Here is a 21,064-nt window from a genome sequence, read left to right on the forward strand (position 1 = left end):
TCCTGCCTTGTCCTCCCAAAGTGCTGGGATTGCAGGCATGAGCCACAGTGCCCTGCAACTATAGGTTAACATTCCTGAAGACCACTCTCAAGGTTGACGAAGAACCAGCATGTTGGTCAGAATGTGTGATAACCATGGTAACCATGGTGCAGCAGTGTGCCAGGGAGGGGCAGTGCAAACCCAGCTGGTAGTGTAAGAATATCAGAGAAAAAGTAAATGAGGAAAGGGACAGAATTATTTCAATTAGGGCAGAGAATGAAAGAGCACGTTCTGATCATTAAGACCACGTGAGAATACATGAAGACACTGGCTCTATTATTGGCGATGAGCCACATCCCCATGTGTCACTGGTGTTCTTCGCAGAACGGAGTGAGTGTGTGGAAAAAAAGGAGGAAGATGTCAGGGATCCAGATGATCAGGCAAGGAGGTCTGTGCAGAATTTTTATAAAATGATGGAGGGTGGCCCCAGCCCTATGGAACCCAGAGGAGCCTGTGGCAATCAGGAGCTAATGAAGGAGGGTAGTAGTGTAGTTGGCCCCAGCCTTAACTAGAGGTCTGAGTTATCACCAATAACAGTAGGTGTGCTCATTCACTGAGTCCTACAGGAGCAACGAGTGGAGGTGGGTGGTATTCGAGTTTCTTCTTAACTGTCAAGAGCATAACTCAGTCACCCAACTGGCTAAGGGCATCTCACGTACTTCCCGTTCTTACTCCCTTAAAGGCATCCTCATGTTTAATTCACAGATTGTGAATTCCAGATGTGAATTCCAAACAAATTCATTTAAAATAATAAATGTTTTGAAAAGAGAGATTGGGACAAGTTCAACTGAAACAGAATGTGAAAACACAGGGAAAAAAAAGAAAGTAGAAGTATTTAGCTTTTGAGCAGAAGATAAATTTGGGAATTGGACAGTCAATACTGTGAATAAAAGGAAATGAGTGGCTGGGCACGGTGGTTCCATGCCTGTAATCCCAGCACTTTGGAACGCCAAGGCAGGCAGATCACCTGAGGTCAGGAGTTCGAGACCAGCCTGGCCAACATGAAACCCCATGCCTACTAAAAATACAAAAGTTAGCCAAGTGTGGTAATGCATGCCTGTAACCCCAGCTACTACTCAAGAGACTGAAGTGGGAGAATTTCTTGAACTCAGGAGGCGGAGCTTACAGTGAGCCAAGATGGCGCCACTGCACTCCAGCCTGAGTACAGAGCAAGACTCCATCTCAAAAAAAAAAAAAAAAAAAAAAAAAAAATGGAAATGAGTAACCGTTCCAGGCTGTGTAATAATTAGTCTCCTCTTGATGGTGTTTTCAAAACTCAAATTCTCTTGCAGATCCACTGGCAACGCACTTTGCCAATCTCTGTTACAAACGTGGCCTTTCCATGGGTTACCTGAACTTGCTTGAAGTACTGCTTGGAGTCACAATGTAGAGGTAGAGTCACAATGTAGAAGTCCCTTTAGGAGATTCTTTTAAAGGTTTCTCTTATAAATCAGCATACTTAAATGTCTATGATTTTCCTTTTGTCATCTAAGAATTTTTTCTTCTAGCCCATTTCTGTAACTTGAAAATAGGTGAAGAGGATTTAATGAATTCTGATTTTCCAAGAAGTCACAGTGCACATCTCCAAGGCCTCTAGCAGCTTGCTGCCACAAGGCTTCTAGGGTTGATAATGAGAGTCATCTATCTACATTTTGATCACAGCACTTGAACATTAAAATGACCCATGTGGGCCTGTGATCCACAGACGTATCAACCTGTCCTTGACTTCAAGGCAATTGATAGCCGAGGAGCATGGTTGCTGACTCATAGAAAGGGCTTTTACATGGAGACTGGCCAATACCCACTTGGTCTCAAGGACACAAGGCCCCAGCCCCAGCAGAGAAAACATGTTTTAGGGCTGTTTTCTTAATGAATTAATTGGTTTTGTCATATAGCATTTCATGATTTTTTTTTAAACAGGTATGTTCTGTGGATCCCTCAGGTATCTCTTCAGCAATACCCAGCCCGTCGCCCAGCCCACTAATTTTAGGGAGGAAAGGTAAGGGTTAGAAGGCTACAGGCTTTATGTTAATCATAGTGCTCCCAGTGAAATCAATGTGTCCTCTTCATAATGTGTTATCTTTGTCAGCATCAAAGTGCTGAAGAAGAGCAATTTACAGGAATTGCATGAGCCTTTCAAAGTTGAACCCACATCAACCTAAATCATGATTACCTGGTGACTCTTGCAAAACCATACCTAACCAAATCAGATGTATGTGTGTATGTGTGTGTGTATAAAGGTTGTATCTATATAATTGTATACATGTATTACTTGTGAATATATGCACATGCAAATCACAGATGCAATATGTAGAGATAAACACTCATATACATATATTACGTGCTATGTAATGTACAGTGTATTGATATATAAAATATACTATACTGTATATATGTACATACTCTATTTTCAACTGAGCTGACTTCATGGGAAACCTTTTTGGATACCTCAATTAAAAAAAATAAAATTAGGTGTGCATAATCTAATTTTAACCTAATGTTAGTATTTAACCTAAAGTACCCTCAATTTTTAAAGCAATTACATAAAATAAAAGCAGGGCTACAATGTGTCCCATGTATTGATTAACTCACAGCTTTCAAAATATTGGCACTTAGGTACAAAATGTCAAGATCCAGCCCTACACCAGCAGGCACTTAGGTAGTATGGTGTCATGAGTTTCTTCTCCTGTTCACTAGGAGTTTACCTCTTTACCAGCATAATTTGACAACTTGGTAAACAGGACCACAGGATATGACAGGGAGAACAATATACATAGCTCTGGATTCTAATCAAAACCCTCCCACTAACTAGCAAAATAATTCTAGGAACTTGGTGTCAAAAATCCTGAAATGAGATCATGAACAAAAACTTTTGAAAATCACAAAGTGTAATAGAAGCATACAGCAGCTCTTTCATTCCCATAATAATCAGCTGTGTTTCCTTTGTAAAGTTCCTAAATGTCAGAGTGGGAGGAACGTCAGTTCAGACATTATAGCCCAACACACACAAGGAACTCTTGTTAGGTCGTGAGAGAATTGACTATTTGTGTTTAAAATAATATTTGTGTAAAAGATACTTAAGTAGTTATAGAATTCAGTTTCTATAATGCTATGTCCAGAAGAACTAAATACAACAGGTTTTATTATAAGTTTTTGAATCCATAAAAACAGATTCCCCACCCCCACTTTTTTTCCCCCATGGAATATTTAAGCCATTGCAGGCAAAGGCACTCCCTCTTTCCCAAGGGAGCTGAACATTTTCTAAATAAAATAGAATTCAAACTTTACAAGGGCTTGGCAGCTTCAGTACCTACCTTCTTTTCAAACCTGGCCCAAATAAAAAATCTGGATAACTTCTCTTGACCCTAATTCCCTAAATTGTACTTTTAATGGATTATATGTGAAATCATATCTGTGTCTGGATACAGACATCCCAGGGAAACAAGGGGAAATCCATCATCTCTACTCTCCTCCACTCTGCAGCAAGCTGAGGAATGCTCCCATCAGAACAGCAAGTGGGCACAGGCAGTGTCCTCCCTGCACACCCAGCCACCTCCTTCCATGCATGCATTCCAGCTCAGCTCAGCAGCTAAATGCATTATGTGCAGAAGCACAGACCACTTTTCTCAGAGTAGGAAAAAAAAAAAACAACTTCAGTTTAAATTGCTGGCATTCTTCTCATTTTTGAGATGTCACATTTTGCATTATTCTTTTTATTTCAGGGAGAAGGGAAACTTTGTAATTCTGTTCTCATAAGAACTTCAGCACAAGCAAAACTACAAAACAGCTGAATTAGCCTTCTAAGCTCATGACCACTAAGAAAAGTCTTCATTCCATTCACCCAAAGAGACGTTACCTATCAGTCAAATTGACTGTGAGAATGTTCTCTGAATTGGCTCCTAGGAACTGTCAAAATGGGGAAATGTGGGTTGTCTGAATTCTGAGTTCAGGGGGCAGTCCTTCGGAGGCTGCATTTGGTCCAGTTGCCCCTGTTCATAGGGGCTGCCTTGTTTCTTTCCCTTCTCTGTCCCAGGAGCTGGGCTTGGTCAGCCAGCTTGGTCACATCATGGTCATTGTTCAGTTACTATGTTAAGAAAGCAAGAGAGATGCCAAATAAGAAAGAGGAACTTATAAAGGTGGGTGAAGAGCCCTCTCCTCTCACCACCCATGAACCAGCCCAGTGCTGTCTAGACCAACATGTTTGTAAAGCTACTGCATCATTTTTGTACACAGGAATTTCCAATGCACACAGCTCTGCTACATAAACTGAGCTGTACTTCGAAGCAACAGAAGTTATTTAAACTGTCTGTGAATTTATCAATATACTTAAGGCAACCTAAAAGAACGTGTGATTTATCTTTCTCAGAGTACGTGGTGCTTGACACTCATCTTCATCTGTCTTACTATATTAGTGTTAAAAAATCCATTCACAAATGCGGTTTGAGTCAATTAATAATTACTAAGATTTCCCATTATTTTTAATCCATTAAAACCCAAAGCATGTGAAACATAAAGGTTTGATTTTACTTGAAAATATTTGTTTCCCTCATTTGCTTTCTGTGTATCAAGAAAATTCAATTAAGTGTAGTAACGATTGGTCTCCTCCGTGAATCGAGGGTATATTACCTATCGGTCCCAAAAGATGGCCTTTTCCTAATACTTCTCTGGGTTCAATTTACTTAAGTTCTAAGCACCAAACAACCAATGATCACGGCTTAAGGCAAAACGTGGGCTAGTTCTTCTTCAGCAGAAGCAATTTTTCACCCCAAGTAGAAATAATCTATTAGCAAAAGGCAACCACATAGATTCTTTGTAAATTATGGACTTCCAGACTATGAGGAGGAAAAACCCCTCGCTACATGATGGAATCTGATGCTTTGCTTTAGTAGGACAAGGAGTATAAGGAGACTGAAGCTCATAAAGGGGAAGGGAGTTAACTGTTAATTTTTAAACGTCTTTGTAACAAATATATACATGTAATCAAGATGAAATATGAGAGGACTCTAGGGAGCATAAAAATCAAAATAAACAATGCAAAAGTGACAAATAAATTTGCCATTTTGGAAATTAAAGCAGGGATTCCCGACCAGGTCAATGTCTGGCAATGTGTTTCCTGCCATGTATGGAATAGCTGCCATGTCAAAGCATAATCTGGCCCCAAATATCAATAATGATGAAGATGAGAAACCCTAAATTAAAGTTCACTACCCTGGTATGGGCTTCTCATGTTCATTCAGTCATTCAGTGGAACATCTTTAAACGCTCACCGTGGGCTGGGAGTGTTAAGATCGGACGAGGAAATAGCACTGGGACCTGGGAGAGGGAAGGAGGGTGGGGCCCCTCAGGTCTGGGCTATCAGCTAAACATTTTCAGAACAGACACTGTGACAAGTGTGCATCAACAATATCTGCTGCTAGGTTGCTCAAATCTGAATAGTGCTTATTGATGTGTCCATGAGACCCAGAAAGAAAGAAAAAGAGGAGAGGAAAGAGTCAAAGTACCAGAAGGAAGATAAAGACAAGAAGAAAGAGTTGAGAAAAAGCAAGAGGGAGAGCTAGGTCACTGTATTAGTCTGTTCTCACACTGCTAATACCTGAGACTGGGTAATTTTAAAGGAAAGAGGCTTAATGGACTCATAGTTCCACATGACTGGGGAGTCCACACAATCATAGCAGCAAATGAAGGGGAAGCAAGACACGTCTTACATGGCAGCAGGCAAGAGAGCTTGTGCAGGGGAACTCCCCTTTAAAAACCATCAGGTCTTGTGAGACTTATTCAGTATCATGAGAATAGCACAGGGAAGCCCCACCCCCACAATTCAATTACCTTCCCCCAGGTCTCTTCTAGCACACATGGGAATTATGGAAGCTATAATTCAAGATGGAGTTTGGTGGGGACACAGCCAAACCATATCAGGCATCACACAGAGCAACCCCTGGGAGGCATTGATATCCCCAGGCAAGGCCCACGGCAGGCCTTGAGAGCATGGAACAGTGGTGCTTGCATCAGTGAATCTTACTAGTTGAAATAAAGAAAGCCATCTTTCCACCCCTCACTTCATGTAAGTCTGACTCCAGGTCCCATCTCATTCCTTGGCACAGGTGGTCTTATTTAAAGGACTGTGCTCTGACCAGTGAAGTGGGGCCGAGGGCCGAGCCACACAACCCCCACATTGAGACTCAAACACCACAGGGAGGAAAAAGGAAACTATTTAGAAATCACCTCTTCAAAAGTCCTATACATCATTTCTACAAACTCAACAAGAAGGTTATAGGGGTCCCCGATGTGTGGGCTTTAGATTATTTATTTATTTTGGGGAGCATTTGAGGATATCACATTCGAATTCTTTGACAATTGGAGTACCTTTAAATCTCCTTATATCTCTGATGATTTAACTCAGAGGCCTTTTCTGCGGTTAAATATCTTCCAGAAAATACCCTTCATCAATTCCTGCTTTATTTCCCCCTTGTCTCCAAGTGTTTCCCTGGCTAAGACTGCATTTTCCTCCTTCTCTTCTTCCTACTCCTTTATTCAGGGTTGGGAAACCCCATAACTAAGCTGGCTGACACTTGCCTCAGTGTCTGACTCCCACAGCGATTCAGTTAAAGGGCAGGGAAGCAGACAATGAAATTGGGTAAAAAAAAGGTACATAACACTCTTTTATAAATACAGAAGGGGGAGGATCTTTTGCCAGTGCTCTCTGCATTTGCTATATTTTTTTCCCCAAACTATTGGTCCTAGGACCAACTTTGCATAGCAAGCCCTCTTTTCTACTCTGTGTATAACTGCTGTCTTCTGTAACCCAAAGCATAATTCACCATTGGAAGTCTGTGCTCCAATATAAAGTAAGAAGATCACTAACAGAATAATACACAGTGAGCCTGTTCACAAGCTGCAGAAGAATTTCCTCAAGTTGATCATGAATAATTTTCTCAAAGACACATAGTCTTCCTGGAAAGGCAAAGAATCACGCATCTTTTTGAGCCAGAGAAACATTTGAAAGAAGCCTGCAACATGTACAATTGCTCAAGAAACACATTTCCAACCTTAGCTATAAACTGCACATTCTATAGGAACATGGGATGTAGATTTTCGTATGAAAAGAGAGTTTATTATAAAGAATATGTTAAGATAAAGAATCTATCACAAATAATATTTTATGTAATAAATTTATTTGTCATATCATTACTTTCTAGATTTAGCTGTAAAGTAAGAAAGGAGGAATTTAAAATATCTTAAAAATTCAGGCCCATATTTTTTCCAGCGCTATCAATCAATTAATTTCTTATCTTAGTCTAATGACAGAAAGGGCAAATTAGCTCTGATCTTCTTATGTTCTGAATCCTTTTTGGAAATGATTGATTGCTGGGGTTAATTTTAATTTAGTATTAAAAACTTGAGAATATACCGTATACATATTTTGAATCTTGCTTTTTTCACTTTACATGGCACCGTAATCAGGAATACTCTTCATATCAACATGCTTTATATAGTGTAGAGTCCTTCAAGACAGGGTGATGGCTGCTCATAATTGCATTCTTCTTACCTTTGATTTGCCTTTGCTGTAACAGGCCTTTTTGGTAGCTTCATCACACTCCCATTCCACAGCCTGTAGAAAACACCAAAACAATAGCAGTCATGGTTTTGACTAAATAAAAGGGAAAATATAAACAAGGTAACAAGGCACTGGTAACCAGATTAGGAAATATGGCTGCATCCTGGCACCAACATTTTCATACTCATAGAATTTACACCAAATACATGAAATTTAGTCATGGGCTTAGATTTAGCTCTAATATTGAAGCATAAGGACCTTCCCCCTTACTATTTGCTTTTGGGTAGTAATGATGGGATGCTTAGATCTAGTCACTGTTAGAAAGGAACAATGAGTTGGTGACTATAGCACTGATGGTAGAAATGATCACTTCAGTGAAACTATGGAATAGACCCAGACGAGGCTTAAGGGAGAGGCCTTGAGACAAGATAATTTAAATATTAATTTTAACATTTTTATTTTATTCAAATAATATGTCATTTATCAATATTCATAGATAATGAAGGATGATTTTGCATATCCTTACTACCAAGATATACCTGTAAATGATAATCAATCAATAGATAGCTCATGCAAAGAACATAGCTAGGATTTTTCCCCAGTAGCAGTCATTTTCATACTATTATTAGCTCTGACTAAATGTTTAGAGCCACAGCTTTTAAATATTTTTTCTCAGAATTTCCAAATCTCACTTATGCTGATTAATTTGCTATGTGTGCTTCCACGTCTGATGCTAACTCACAAATGAAATGTGTGATTAGTGAAGAAAACAGACAGGGCTTGCTTTACAGAAAGGATGCCTACAGGCATCCATGGCCTAGCTCTCGTGAATAGTTTTTTGCGCAAATTGAGGCACCTGGGCTTTTTTTTTTTCTCTTTTCTATCATTGTATAGAGTGTGAACTTTTATAGGGTAAAAATATTTTTTTCATTCTCCATACCTGTTATCAGAATTATTATTTTCTATTTTACTATTAAAATTGGATTTCTGAAGGAACAGGGATGTGCGGTAATTCAATCATTAACAGAAAGACATTTTGAGATAGAGACTTTTTTCTGTTAATTTGGACTAATGTCAAATAATAAACTAAACCAAAAGCAACCTAGTGTCAAATCATATGAAGGAAAATAATGGCTTCACCCTTATTTTTTAGTAAGAAATGTTTTCTTTCTAATTATCCAAACTTGGGAGAATAACAAAGTCAGGCTAACACCATTCTCTAATATCTTCTGCCTTCCAAAGAATGTTACATAACAGAGATTAAATCATACAACACTGCATCTTGTATAATTTATGTTACTTGGCAAATATGAGTCCATAAGAAAAGTATTCTAGAAAGAACCACTTCAGTGTCTTTGAAACCAAAACAATGCTATAACTGTTTTCCCTTGTGCAGACTTGAAGATTTTTGTCAGTGTCAACATCTGATAAGAGAATTTGTTAATTCCTTCTGTGCTGTTTCCCTGTTCATAATGTTTGATGGTAACAATACAGTCATAGCTAATCAGCATCTGATGCAAACACATGATTTGAATTCCATACCAGGATGACAAATATTTTCATGAAAAGCAATGACACCTCCAGAGAAAACAGCCTCCCATACAGTTGCATAACTATATCCCCATGAAGTACAGATAAAATAAATGAAAATAAATGTGTTGTTGTTCATCTGATTTGACCTTTAGTATATTCCTTTCTTAGATCTCTTTACAAAATATTACTCAGTTTTTTTGTATTTAAGTAGATATCCACGTCTTGGCCTTTACTTAAACTTAAAACAGTATTGAGGATTGATTAAAACAGTATTGAGGACTGAAAGAATATGATATATTCTTTCAGCAGAGTAAAACTCATTATAACTTTGATTGTGTATTGCCAGAGGTTTCAGTATTACATATCACCAAGAGGAACTGGTGTTACACAATTACTAGGAAAACTATACAGTGAAATACTTTAGATAAAGAGTCATTCACGGTGGCTTTCATTGGTCTAGTGATTTTGTTAAAAGTTAAATAATAATGTTCTCTTCTATAAACATGAAAGCTATAAAGAGAAGGATTAGTCCCAGGGCTAAGGAAGAAGAATATTTACCAAATGCCATCAAAATTGTTCAGATCCTGCGGCTGAAATGGCAAACAAACAGCTTCACAAGTCTACCTAATGCCCAAATAGCCTTTGCATTTTCAAGATAAATATTGGCCAAAGATTGAAAGGGAAAATAAGAGAAGAAAGAATGTGAGAGTTTTAAAAAATATTTCATTATTTTTATCCAGCATACCAAAAAATAGCAACTGCTCTTACAAGTTTATTAGACCAATAATAAATATGACAAATCTTACAGATTTTCTGAAGATAGTGATTAGAAAGAAAAAAAATTAATTTCCTAAGGCATTTTATTACAGCCTCACTAGCTTGCCTATAATATTCAAATCCAGAATTAATTAAAGACCATGATTGTACAGCTTTTCTGTTCACTTTCTACCTGAATAGAGAACAGGATAAAGGGAAATTTTATATTAAGAATGGAACTTTACTTATTCCAGAAGACAGCAGGAATATATACATATTATTGGATAGCACAGAATTTGAAAAGGAATAGAATGGAGAAAAGTGGCTTTTCCAGATTATACTAGAATGGGATGCTCCAGATTCATCCCATAGTGTCCTCCTATTCACTAGGTCAGCTAGACTTTGCCTATTTCATCACTTGACAGACATGAAATTAAAAAAAAAAATCCATCAGAGACAAATAAGAGTATCAATGTACCTCCTCTCTGTGGGTTCTTATTTCTCACAGTGACGCATTTTTCTGTTTGAAATTAGGCTGTTTGTTTAACCTGGTCACAACTTCCTTATTCTTCTAGATCCATTCTAATGAACCAAATACCTCTTAATCAAGCCTTCTCTTTCATTTCTCAGTGAAAATTTTTATTATTTCATGTATCATGATTATAGAACAAGTCTCACTACTGATTTGAGAAGCCACGTGTCCACTTGTATTCAAAAGATGTTTTTCCACTAACCCAAACCTATCTTTACAATAGTCAAAACAAGTGCTAAAGCATTCTACATTTCAGATCTCAACCCAACATTCATAGTCTCATTTCCTGAGTCTCCCTTTTAAAAATATTTAATTTTTGTCATCTTTTGTCTTTTTCTATTTCAGGATAGCCCAGTAGAGAAAAGAAATATTTCTACTCTAGGCTATTCAATATTTTGTCTGCATTATATATTTCAGCAGCAGACATATAGCAGTAATATTGTGGTTACTTGAATATTCAAAGATTAGATACAGTAGGCAGTGAGTTTGAAACACCTACATTTTAAAAGACACAACGATTCCTGTTTGCAGTAAGTTTTTTTCTGTAAATACATACAAATAATACCTGTACTAAGGAACAACTCACAGAAGTTTTGCTTTATGCAAATACATTAATTATCTCCTTTATTTAACAAATATTCATTAAGTACCTACCAAACAGAAGACACTCTTCTATGTGACTGACAGAAGGAAAAACAGACATAGAGATACACATCAGATATTAATTTACAATACAGCATAAGTGTATTCCATCAGCCTAGACAGAATTATGTTAAATCTGAGGAGTCAACAGTGTTCATTTTCATTGTTATAGTAGCCATATGCACGTTAATCTCAGGTCCAGTGACACACTCTAACTTATAATATCATTAGCTTTCAGGATGTGACAAACATACAAAGAGAGCTACAAAAAAAAAAAAAAAAAAGAAGAGGCTTATGGAAAACCCATTTTATATCTGCATAAATCCTGGGTATGCAACAAAGCCCCCATTGTTTCAAGGTACAGCATCCATTGGACCGTGTTGCACACAGACATACTACGGTTAGGATAAATGGAGCTGTGATCTCAAGAGTAAATCAGATAGAGAAAAGAAAAAGAGATTGGCTCTTTTTATGTATGTGTTACATACATATAAATCCACAGTTCTCAGAAGTATATAAACAAAGCTGTGTATTATCACACTCCACCGCCAGATAAGTTAATTAGATAGGGACCAGCAAAGGCAGACACTTCATAAAAATGAAGAGAACAACATTCTAGGCAAATGGGCTACTACTCTTTCAGCAGATGGCTTTGCTAATTAGATACTGGCAAAAGATAACATTAAACAAAACTAGTTTAATTACACAACGCCAAAAATTAACAACCACCTGAGGGCTTTCTTTTTTCATATGTTTACATTCATATTCTTATGTCATGTATTCTGCGATGCGCTGGGAAATGTTACATTGCCATGGCAATTATAAACAAATCGTCAGGGTATGCAAGACTATATCTTTGTTCAAAACTGAAACAAATGCAAATGAGTTGGAACTAGAAACAACTGTGATTTGACTTGAATAAAATGTCAACCTATAACAGTAACTTTGAGAGAGGACATCTTTGCTAATTATAATACCTTCATGGTCACACGTGTCAGGGTCACACAAGTGTCACTTGAGCTAGAATGGCGTGCATTGAACGAAAAAAGGCAGTAAACATTTCAGTCAATTTGGAAGGATTTGTTCGATGTTCCTCTGCCTTTACTTCCTAGTGGATATTCAATGTGTTTGTTATTTTTTCACATTAATTTTCAGTATACTTTCATTTCCGTCCATGTCAAATACAAGCAAGTACAATTATAACCTCAAAATCAAAAGACTAGCCAAACATCTTATGTTCTCACTGGTATGTGGGAGCTAAGCTATGAGTATGCAAAGGCAAAAGAATGATACACTAGACTTTGAGGACTTATGGGGAAGAGTGGGAGCGGGGCAAGGCATAAAAGACAACCAACGTGGTGCAGTGTATACTGCTCGGGCGATGGGTGCACCAGGATCTCACAAATCTCCACTGAAGAACTTACTCATGTAACCACATACCTTCTCTACCCCAATAACATATGGGAAAATAAATTTTTTTTTAAATGATCAATTTCAAAATTTAGAAATTAACTTAAAAAAGACTGGAATCGCATTAGAGTCATATCATCCCACTATTTTTTGATTCTCATACACTGCCATCATCTAAAATTAGAAGAAATATCTTAACTTTAGAAATACCTATGAAAATGTGTTATAATAATTTTTAAAGCCCTTATGCTAATGCCCAAGATTTTCTTTCACATAATAACACCACATTAAACTTACATTGATAAGGAACTGCAGAGTGGTGCTCCCAGCCTGTTGAATGCTCACTGGGCGTTCTGTTCTCTAATTGGGAGTTGACAATGTATTCATTCCCTAGAGCTGTTGTGAGAAACTACCACAAACCAGGTGGCTTTAAGGACAGAAATTTATTCTTACAGTTCTGGAGGCTCGTTGGCAGGGTTGAATCCGACTGAAAACTTTGAGGGACAATCTGTCTGGGCCCCTCTCCCAGCCCCTGGGGTCTGCCGCTGACCTGTGGTACGACTTGGCTTACAGGGCATCACTGGAACCTCTGCCTCACTCATCGCATGGTGTTCTCCTTGTGTTTTTCTTTGTCCAAATGTTCCTCTTCTTATAAGGACACCGGCCACTGGATTAAGGCCCACTGTATTCCAGCAATGAGCTCATCTTAACTAATGACATCTAGAAAGACTCTTTTTTCAAATAAGGTCATATTCTGGGAATCTGCATGGACATGAGTTTTGGGGTGATACTCTACAACCCAGTACAAACAGCATGGCATAAGAGATTTGGAGAAACAATTCATAGTCACAAATTAGGGTCATTGCTTTGCCACAAATTAGTTGCCAATTCTCAAGCAAAATAATGGTAACAATTTATTAAATGTGTGATGTGCTAGCTACAGTGCTAAATGCTTTCTATACACTTACCTCGTTTAATGTGAGAGGTACTATTATAATAAGATTTTGGATGAGGACTTAGGGTAAATAACTTGCCAAAGGCCACAGAGTATTAAGTGGCAGCCCCAGGATTGGCACTTTATAACTTGGATCTGGAGCCTGTTATCTGAACTACTCTCCTGCTATTTAAATTGCCAAATTAAGTGCCCCTTCTTACCTGATTTTTACAGTTTCTTTGTTTTCCACCCCGTAATTTAGAAAAATACATATCTGAAGCAGAGAAATTTGTGCATGTCTAAGTTCAGAGCTGTTGGCATTCAGTAAATATTAATCAAAAAAGCCATTGATTCCCTTGTCATAGAATGTATTCATGTCTAAAGCCTCTGGGCCCATTCACAGCCCTAGAATCGATTTTAAAAGGACCATGATTTGCCTAATGAAACTCTAAAGTCAAGAAAGGTGCAGCCAGGGTATGATATAAGAATCTTGGGTTGGTTTTGTGAAATTAAACATCTTCTGTATAAGAACACAGTTTGTTCTTGACACAGCAGCAATGTCCTGCTTTCAAAATTCAGTCTGAAGACCCATCACTTCTATTAAGCCCTACCGGGGCTTCCCACACCTCCTGGATTAAGAGCCAAAGTCATCTAGAAAATTCTGCCATGTCCAGGTACTTATTTCCTAGTGCCCCCACCCCATTCTTTTACGGGTGGCATGGGTTTCTCAGCATGGTCTCTGAACAAAGCAGACACATTCCCTATGGCCTGTGGACTTACTGGCCCCACTACCTGGAATACTTTCCTCCAGATGCCCACCTAGATAATGGCTGTGCCTCCTACATACCTTTGTTCAAGTGTGAGCTCCTCGCTGGACCCTATGTAGCCATATATGTATATGTGAAACTGCCATTTGCTTCCTCCTTTCTCACTAGAAAGCAAACTGCACTTGGGCAGGCAGCTTGGCTGCTTGGTACACGTCTGTATCTGCAGCACCTAGGACAGTGCCACATACACAAGCACTCAATATCTAGCTGTTAAACAAATTAACGGATGTGTTAATAGAATGCCCTGCACCCATGCCCTTGGAAGTCGCTCAGGTGTCCTTCTAGAGACCCCTTGTAGAATGGGCACATGAGGCTTGGCAGCCCTTGAGCTGGTTGGGTGAGCCTACCACGTGTTGCACCTCTGTGGCAAAAACATCCCACAAGAATTTCTCTTCCACACTTCAATTTGCCCTGACACTGGGAAGAAGAATATGAATGCATCCGCTCTGGGAAGACAGAAAGGGAAGGATCAGAACAAAGATTTTACTACTTTTTCAGCAGTAGACAACGTTTTTTTAAGTAACATCTTCAGCCTAATCTCAAACAAAAGGAGATAAAAGTGGTATAGTATTCCCCTTCTCTGCAGTTTTACTTCTTGATACCGCAGTCAACTGAAGTTCAAAAATATGAAATGGAACATTCCAGAAACAAACAATTCCTAAGTTTTAAATTGTGGACAATTCTGAGTAGCATGGTGAAATCTCAAGCCACCCTGCTCCATCCTGCCTGCGGAAATAAAGGATCCCTTTGTCTGGAGTATTCACATGTCTATGTTCCCTGCCTATTAGTCACTTAGGAGCCCTCTCAGTTATCAGATCAAAAAAACATAGCACACACAGTGTTCAGTACTATCAGAAGGTTCAGGCATTCCCTGGGGGTCTTGGAACCTATCCCCCGTAGATAAGAGAGGGACTACCATATTATGTCAAAGTCATGCTTTAAGTGCAAAATTATACTAAGTCATTAGAAAAATGTGAGACCAAGTGACTGCTGAGTCATAACACCCTCGGTATCCAAGCATTTCTGTATTTTGTTTTGGTTGCCTGCTTTTGAAAAAAACACAAATTTATAAAAATTAATAGTTATAAATAAGACCACTTTGAATCTCAGTAAATTGGCAGTACAAATTGAAATGACAGCGGACACCTTATTCCGTACTCTATAATAAACCAGGGAGGCCAAGTAATGTCACAGTAAAAGTTAATTTACTGAGTGAAGGATTCTAAAGTCTTAAAATTCTGTACATGGTATACATTTTTGGTATAAGTGTTTCTTAAATAATGGGATTAAAGCAATATAATATCTCAAATCTCAGAAGCACCTCTAGAATCTGAGGGTTCTGAGTAACACAGTTGGCAAGTCACTATTTTAAGGAACCAAATTTATCTGATAAGAAATTTTGGGGCTGGACCTGGGGTCAGACAGAGAAAAACAAAGTGATGGAAGATGAGTTCCAATGACCCTACTCCTGAACACGAATGAACCCTGCTGGGATGATCTTTTGAAAGAAGAACATTAGAGAGAGAGAAGAAAAACAGTATCAAGGACATTATAATATCTGGTATAAAATTTAAAACCATGATTGTCAGACCTTGAAGCATCAAACGACTGGTGCACTTCAAAAATATTTCTAAGGTAAGGCTCATAAGAGCCTTACTTCTTGGTTGCAGGGTTTTACAGAAATTATTTTCATGAATGCAAGTAGGATTGGTTTAAAAAATGGTGCATCGTCAAATTTGCAAGACTAAATGTAGCGAAAAAAATCAAATCACTGGAGGGATGGCTATTTTTATACATGAATTTCCTAAAAGTATTAGTATAAGGAACCCAATTCAAAGTCAATCAAGCAGGGATAAAAGTATTGACATCGGAGTGGATTGAATTCCCAAGGACTGGCTTGCCTAGTTTAATATTTCCCAAATGCATTTGGTGGAAAATTGATTGCATCTAATGTTATATTTTCTCTCTTTTACAACATACAATTATATCTTACATCACATGGATGATGCCATCCAAGTACCACAATATCTGTATACTGTTCAACAGAAATGTTTGCTAGCAATTAGATATATCACAAGCAAATTAGAATTAGATGTTTTATCTGATGTAACATTTATTCTGCATATGTAGAGATATTCCAAAAGGAATAAGTTGATTATAGAAAGTTATGAAAAATGTCACACCAACCGAGCTTAGTAAGACTATCTGAAGATTGTATGGGACACCAATATGAATTCACAAGATAAAATTTTAAACAATATGAGAAGCAGCATGTTAGCATGGGATTCTCTGTAAAACCTTGACCAACACTAGGAAAACACAACTTGATATAATGAAGCCTGCCTTGAAAATACTTTTACAAGGCTAAGTTTGTGGTGTGGCTTTGACCAAATCTTTCTTTCACACGCCAGTTAACTACTGACAATAATATTCTAGCACTATTGGTAAAAGTGAAGATTAACCATCCTGTCCCTAAAACAAAAAGAAATTTCACAGTTATATGCCAAGGTTTCATCTGGGAATATAGTTAAAGGGTTCAAAAGGGACTGCATGTAGCAAGTAAGAAGAAGTACCAATCTTTTTATTTTGAGGCAACATGAAACAGATGTAGAAAACGACGCCAGCAACCACAGCATGAATGCAAATGAAGGTGCAGAAACCACGCAACTCTTTGTTGTTTGGCTTAGAATTTTATTTTACTGATGTGAATGAAATATTTTTATATTTTCAAGAGGAATATCCCATTTGTGATTTTGTGTGTTAGATTTCTCTTGCTTAAAATGTAAAGCCACCTATATTGGCATCATTGGTTTGAGTCCTATTATTGTGTATTCTGGCCAAATCTTAATGAAGACATTCTGTATGAACTGTCAGCCTAATAGCCAATATTGATGTAAATATATGGATGTTTGCTTTCAGTTTCTCCATAAATCTTTTCTATTTTTCTAGTCTTCTGAAACTGGCTTCATGAAAACAAACAACACTTCATACCTGATTACTTTCTCTAGAGTTCTGGGTTAATATCTATGCACTAGACTCACTGGAGCACTTACAAAACCCAGATTATGAATGTTTCCTGGGGAATTGTTTTATACTCATGGAACAACTCAGAATTTATTCATTATTCAAGTTAAAAATGCTTGCTTCCTGAGATATATCCTATCAAAGTCAACAAAGATTGACTTTACTTCCAGCTTGAGAACATATTGATCTATTTTCCAGATCTCAAGATATATGCAAAACCCTCCTTATGAACCTTATTCAGCATTATTTCCATAAGCTTTTGTTTTCAGCTACAAAAAAATGAACACGAAAATTTGTTTTCTAGTGTAAGTTTGGTAGTCATTGTTTACTCTCATTTTAAATAAAATGTGTAACAGGATAATATACTCTGTTCAAGAAACACATTATTTACTATATTATCACAATGGTAAATGAGCACTTAGTGAACATGACTGATACATTCATGTCCTAGTTAATATTGAACACTCTCATAACTTAATGAATATCTGCTTAAACGTATTAAATCAAATAAATAATTTAGCATTAAACAGCAATTGTGTGGTTTTGCCATTTATTTCTCCAAACATTTTTCTCTCTTCTATAATTTGTTCATTTACATGCCAGAGATGTCCTAAAATATTGTCATTACTATTATTAAGATGTTTGATAAGAGCTCCATCTAAGAAAAAAGTCCAAAAGCATTTCAAGTGTGAGAATAAGAGTTGGTGAATTTTTAATGTCTGTAACATCTGGGATATGTTGATGGAAAATTGATGCCTTTTGTTATAATTTTACAACAAAATGAAGAGAACATGAGGCACTCCTTCCCTTCCATCTATTTAAATCATTCCTTTTGTTATGTGATTAGCCAGGGTTGGCAACTAATTGCCAAATGTTACAACTTCACTCAATTTCCTACTAAAGGAATTTGATTTTGAAATAAATTAATTGCCTACACCAATTAGGGCCTTGAAACACAACTTTGTGTATATCTGAGGGTGGAGCATTGGAGTAGGATGAACACTGGTCCCTTAAAAGATATCCATCATCATCTCTGCAACCTGTGAAGTTAACTCATACGGCAAAAAAAAAAAAGAAAAAAGAAAAGGACTGAAGATAATTAAATTAAGGATCTTGAGATGGAGACATTAATCTATTATTCAGGGAGCATCTCAACATCACTGAAAACATTCTCATATGAAGCAGGCAGAGGAAGATGCGGAGCATACAGAGGAGAAGGAAATATGACCGTGGAGGCAGAGATAGTGATGAAGGAGCCTCAAGTCAAGGAGGCCGGCAGCCACCCGAAGCCAAAAGAGAAAAAGAACAAATTATTTCCCCCAAACTTCTGGAGAAAGTGTGGCCCGGGGGACCCCTTTATTTTAGTCGCATAAGAATTAATTTGGACTCCTAGCCTCCAGAACTGTGAGAGAAAAAATTTCTGTTGCTCTAACCCACCAAGTTCATGATAATTTGTCACAGCAGCCATACAAAACTAATACATACATACATACACATGAATTACACACATGAACACAGTCACACTCAAGCGAGTTTAGGAGCATGGGGTGGACATGTTAGTATCTGTGTGTCCATCTACCAAACATCTGGGCCAGGCCCATTGTACGAAATTGGAACATGTCATCCCAAAATATGCCTTTGTCATGGGATTATTTTGAGCTGATTATTTTGAGAAAGCCTAGACACAGGAGAAGCTCTGAAAACAGAGTAGAAATTGTGTTTGTGTAAGGTAAGCTTACATCTATAAAGGAAATCTCTATTTGTAAGGGTGTCTCCCCTACTGTACCAGGAAGAGAAATATGATCCTGGTCAGGAGATAAGTCAATGGAGAAGCCACTGACTTAAATGTGCACAACAAACCTTACTCCGGCTAACCATGCCATTTCTGGTCACGTTGCCATTACTTACCTCTCCCACACACTTCTTTCTTTAATCTAGCTGAAGATGGTATTTAAGCTTGAATTCTAAGATATCTCTTTGAGAGTGACTCATTTCCCTGGGTATCTCCCGTGTGTGTAAGACATAAACATATTTTTATAACTTGTTTTTCTATTGTTAATATGTCTTTTGTTACAAGGGCCCAGCTGAGAATTTAGAAGAGTAGAGGGAAAATTATTTCTTCCTGCCCTACAATATATATGAAAGATGTAGTTGTTGATATAAAAGACCTCTTAAGGAAAACATGCTGTGATCTTGGGCGTCTTGAAGGGGAACACTCAACCCAGATGTAGGGATCTGGAGATGGATGAAGGAACATTTCTTAGGGAGGTCAAGGCTTGAGCTGGATCTTGAAGCAATTGACCAGTGAGTGAATAAGTGGAAGAGTAGATGTTCAAGAAAAGCAAATGAATAAGCTGGTGCAAAGGCCTGAAATGGGAAGAAAGGACATCTAAGCTGGAGAACTGGACCCCAGGGTGGGGATTGGAGAGGTCTCTGGCTACACGCTGATATGCAGCTCAGGACAGGCCTCCTGAACCATGCTAAAAGAAGTTAGTTCAGATTTATTTTTCATGAGTTGAAGAAAAGCCATGAATAAAATTTTAAGCAAGATATTGGCATGGTGAGAGACAAGTAGTTGAGAAAGACTTCTCTGTGGGTATAAGACCTGGAAAGCAGTGTGGCTGTAGTGGTGAATACAAGGAGAGTGATGTAGAGGTCATTGCAGGCAACCAGCAGGTAGGCATTGGGAACCTGAAATTAGCAGGGACAATAGGGATAGAAGAAGGGATGGGTAACCAGCAATTTAGTAGTGGGAAGGGCACTGTCTTTTGATCATGTAGATGTGTGGGTGGACAGCAGTAGCACAAGTCTGCCTAATCTACAGTATGAAACTAATTCCCACCCATTCCTTAAGCTGGGTTTGGACTGAATGCCACACACAATTCTGAACTGCTTTCTTTCCACCCCCATAAGTAACTTTAACCTTAGACAAATAAAACTACCTATACGATCCTGTTTAAAGAAAACACAATAAGACAGTAAATCTTCCAAAATAGCAAAGTAGTTCAAGAAAAAAGACCGAATTCATACAATGTTTTGATCATCACACTTTTAAATCAAACACACTTTAGTTCATTGGTAATACATTCTGGATTTTTAAAACAAATGGAAAACCAACCAAAGAAAATCTTATGAATCACATGAAAGTTACCTTTAAAACTGTAGGAATTCAAAGTAATTCAGTACAAGAACTTCTTTTTCAAAGTAATACAATAATGATTTATTTGTTTGGAATTCTGTGTCCTAAGTCAAGCAAATAAGATATAAAAAATTACACAAACATAAATTTCAAAATGAGAGAAAACTTACAACTCTTGACTTCCAAGACATTTAGCAAAGCTAAAGAAGTTGGAATTTAAAAGTGGAAAAACATAAGAAAAATAGACTAACAAATTAAGATTTTCATATCTATTAGTATTACATTTTTCTTAGATTTTCACATGCTATGGTTTTAATGCTCCACCAAAATTTATGTTGAAATTTAATTGCTGTTGTAAGTATTAAGAGGTAAGACCTTTAGGGGACAACTAGGTCTTGAGAGCTCTGTCCTACTAAATGGGACTAATGCCATTGTCTCAGGAGTGGGTTAGTTATAACTGGAGTGGGTTTCTGAGAAAAGGATAAATTTGGGCTAGTGTTCTCCCTCTGTCTCATGAGCTTTCTTCATATGATGCCTTCCATACTAGGATGACTCTAGTCAGAAGCTGGCACCAAACTCTTGGACCTCACAGCCTCCAGAACCATGAGTCAAATAACCTAATATTTTATATAAATTACCCAGCCTATGGTAATCTAACAGCAGAAAAAGTGCT

The 21,064-nt window shown here is 37.7% G+C and overlaps 1 protein-coding gene across 11 annotated transcripts in view; it reads right to left on the reverse strand.

Moving 5' to 3' along the window:
- Window positions 1-21,064, reverse strand: part of SEMA5A (semaphorin 5A) — a 511,043-nt gene that overhangs the window by 195,210 nt on the left and 294,769 nt on the right. For all 11 annotated transcript variants that reach the window (XM_011514158.3, NM_003966.3, XM_011514157.3 and 8 more), the window contains one exon: window positions 7,586-7,648. In XM_011514158.3, coding sequence (XP_011512460.1) covers window positions 7,586-7,648 — 63 coding nt within the window. The remainder of the gene's footprint in view (window positions 1-7,585; window positions 7,649-21,064) is intronic.

This window comes from Homo sapiens, chromosome 5 (assembly GCF_000001405.40).
Source record: "Homo sapiens chromosome 5, GRCh38.p14 Primary Assembly".
Lineage (NCBI taxonomy): Eukaryota > Metazoa > Chordata > Mammalia > Primates > Hominidae > Homo > Homo sapiens.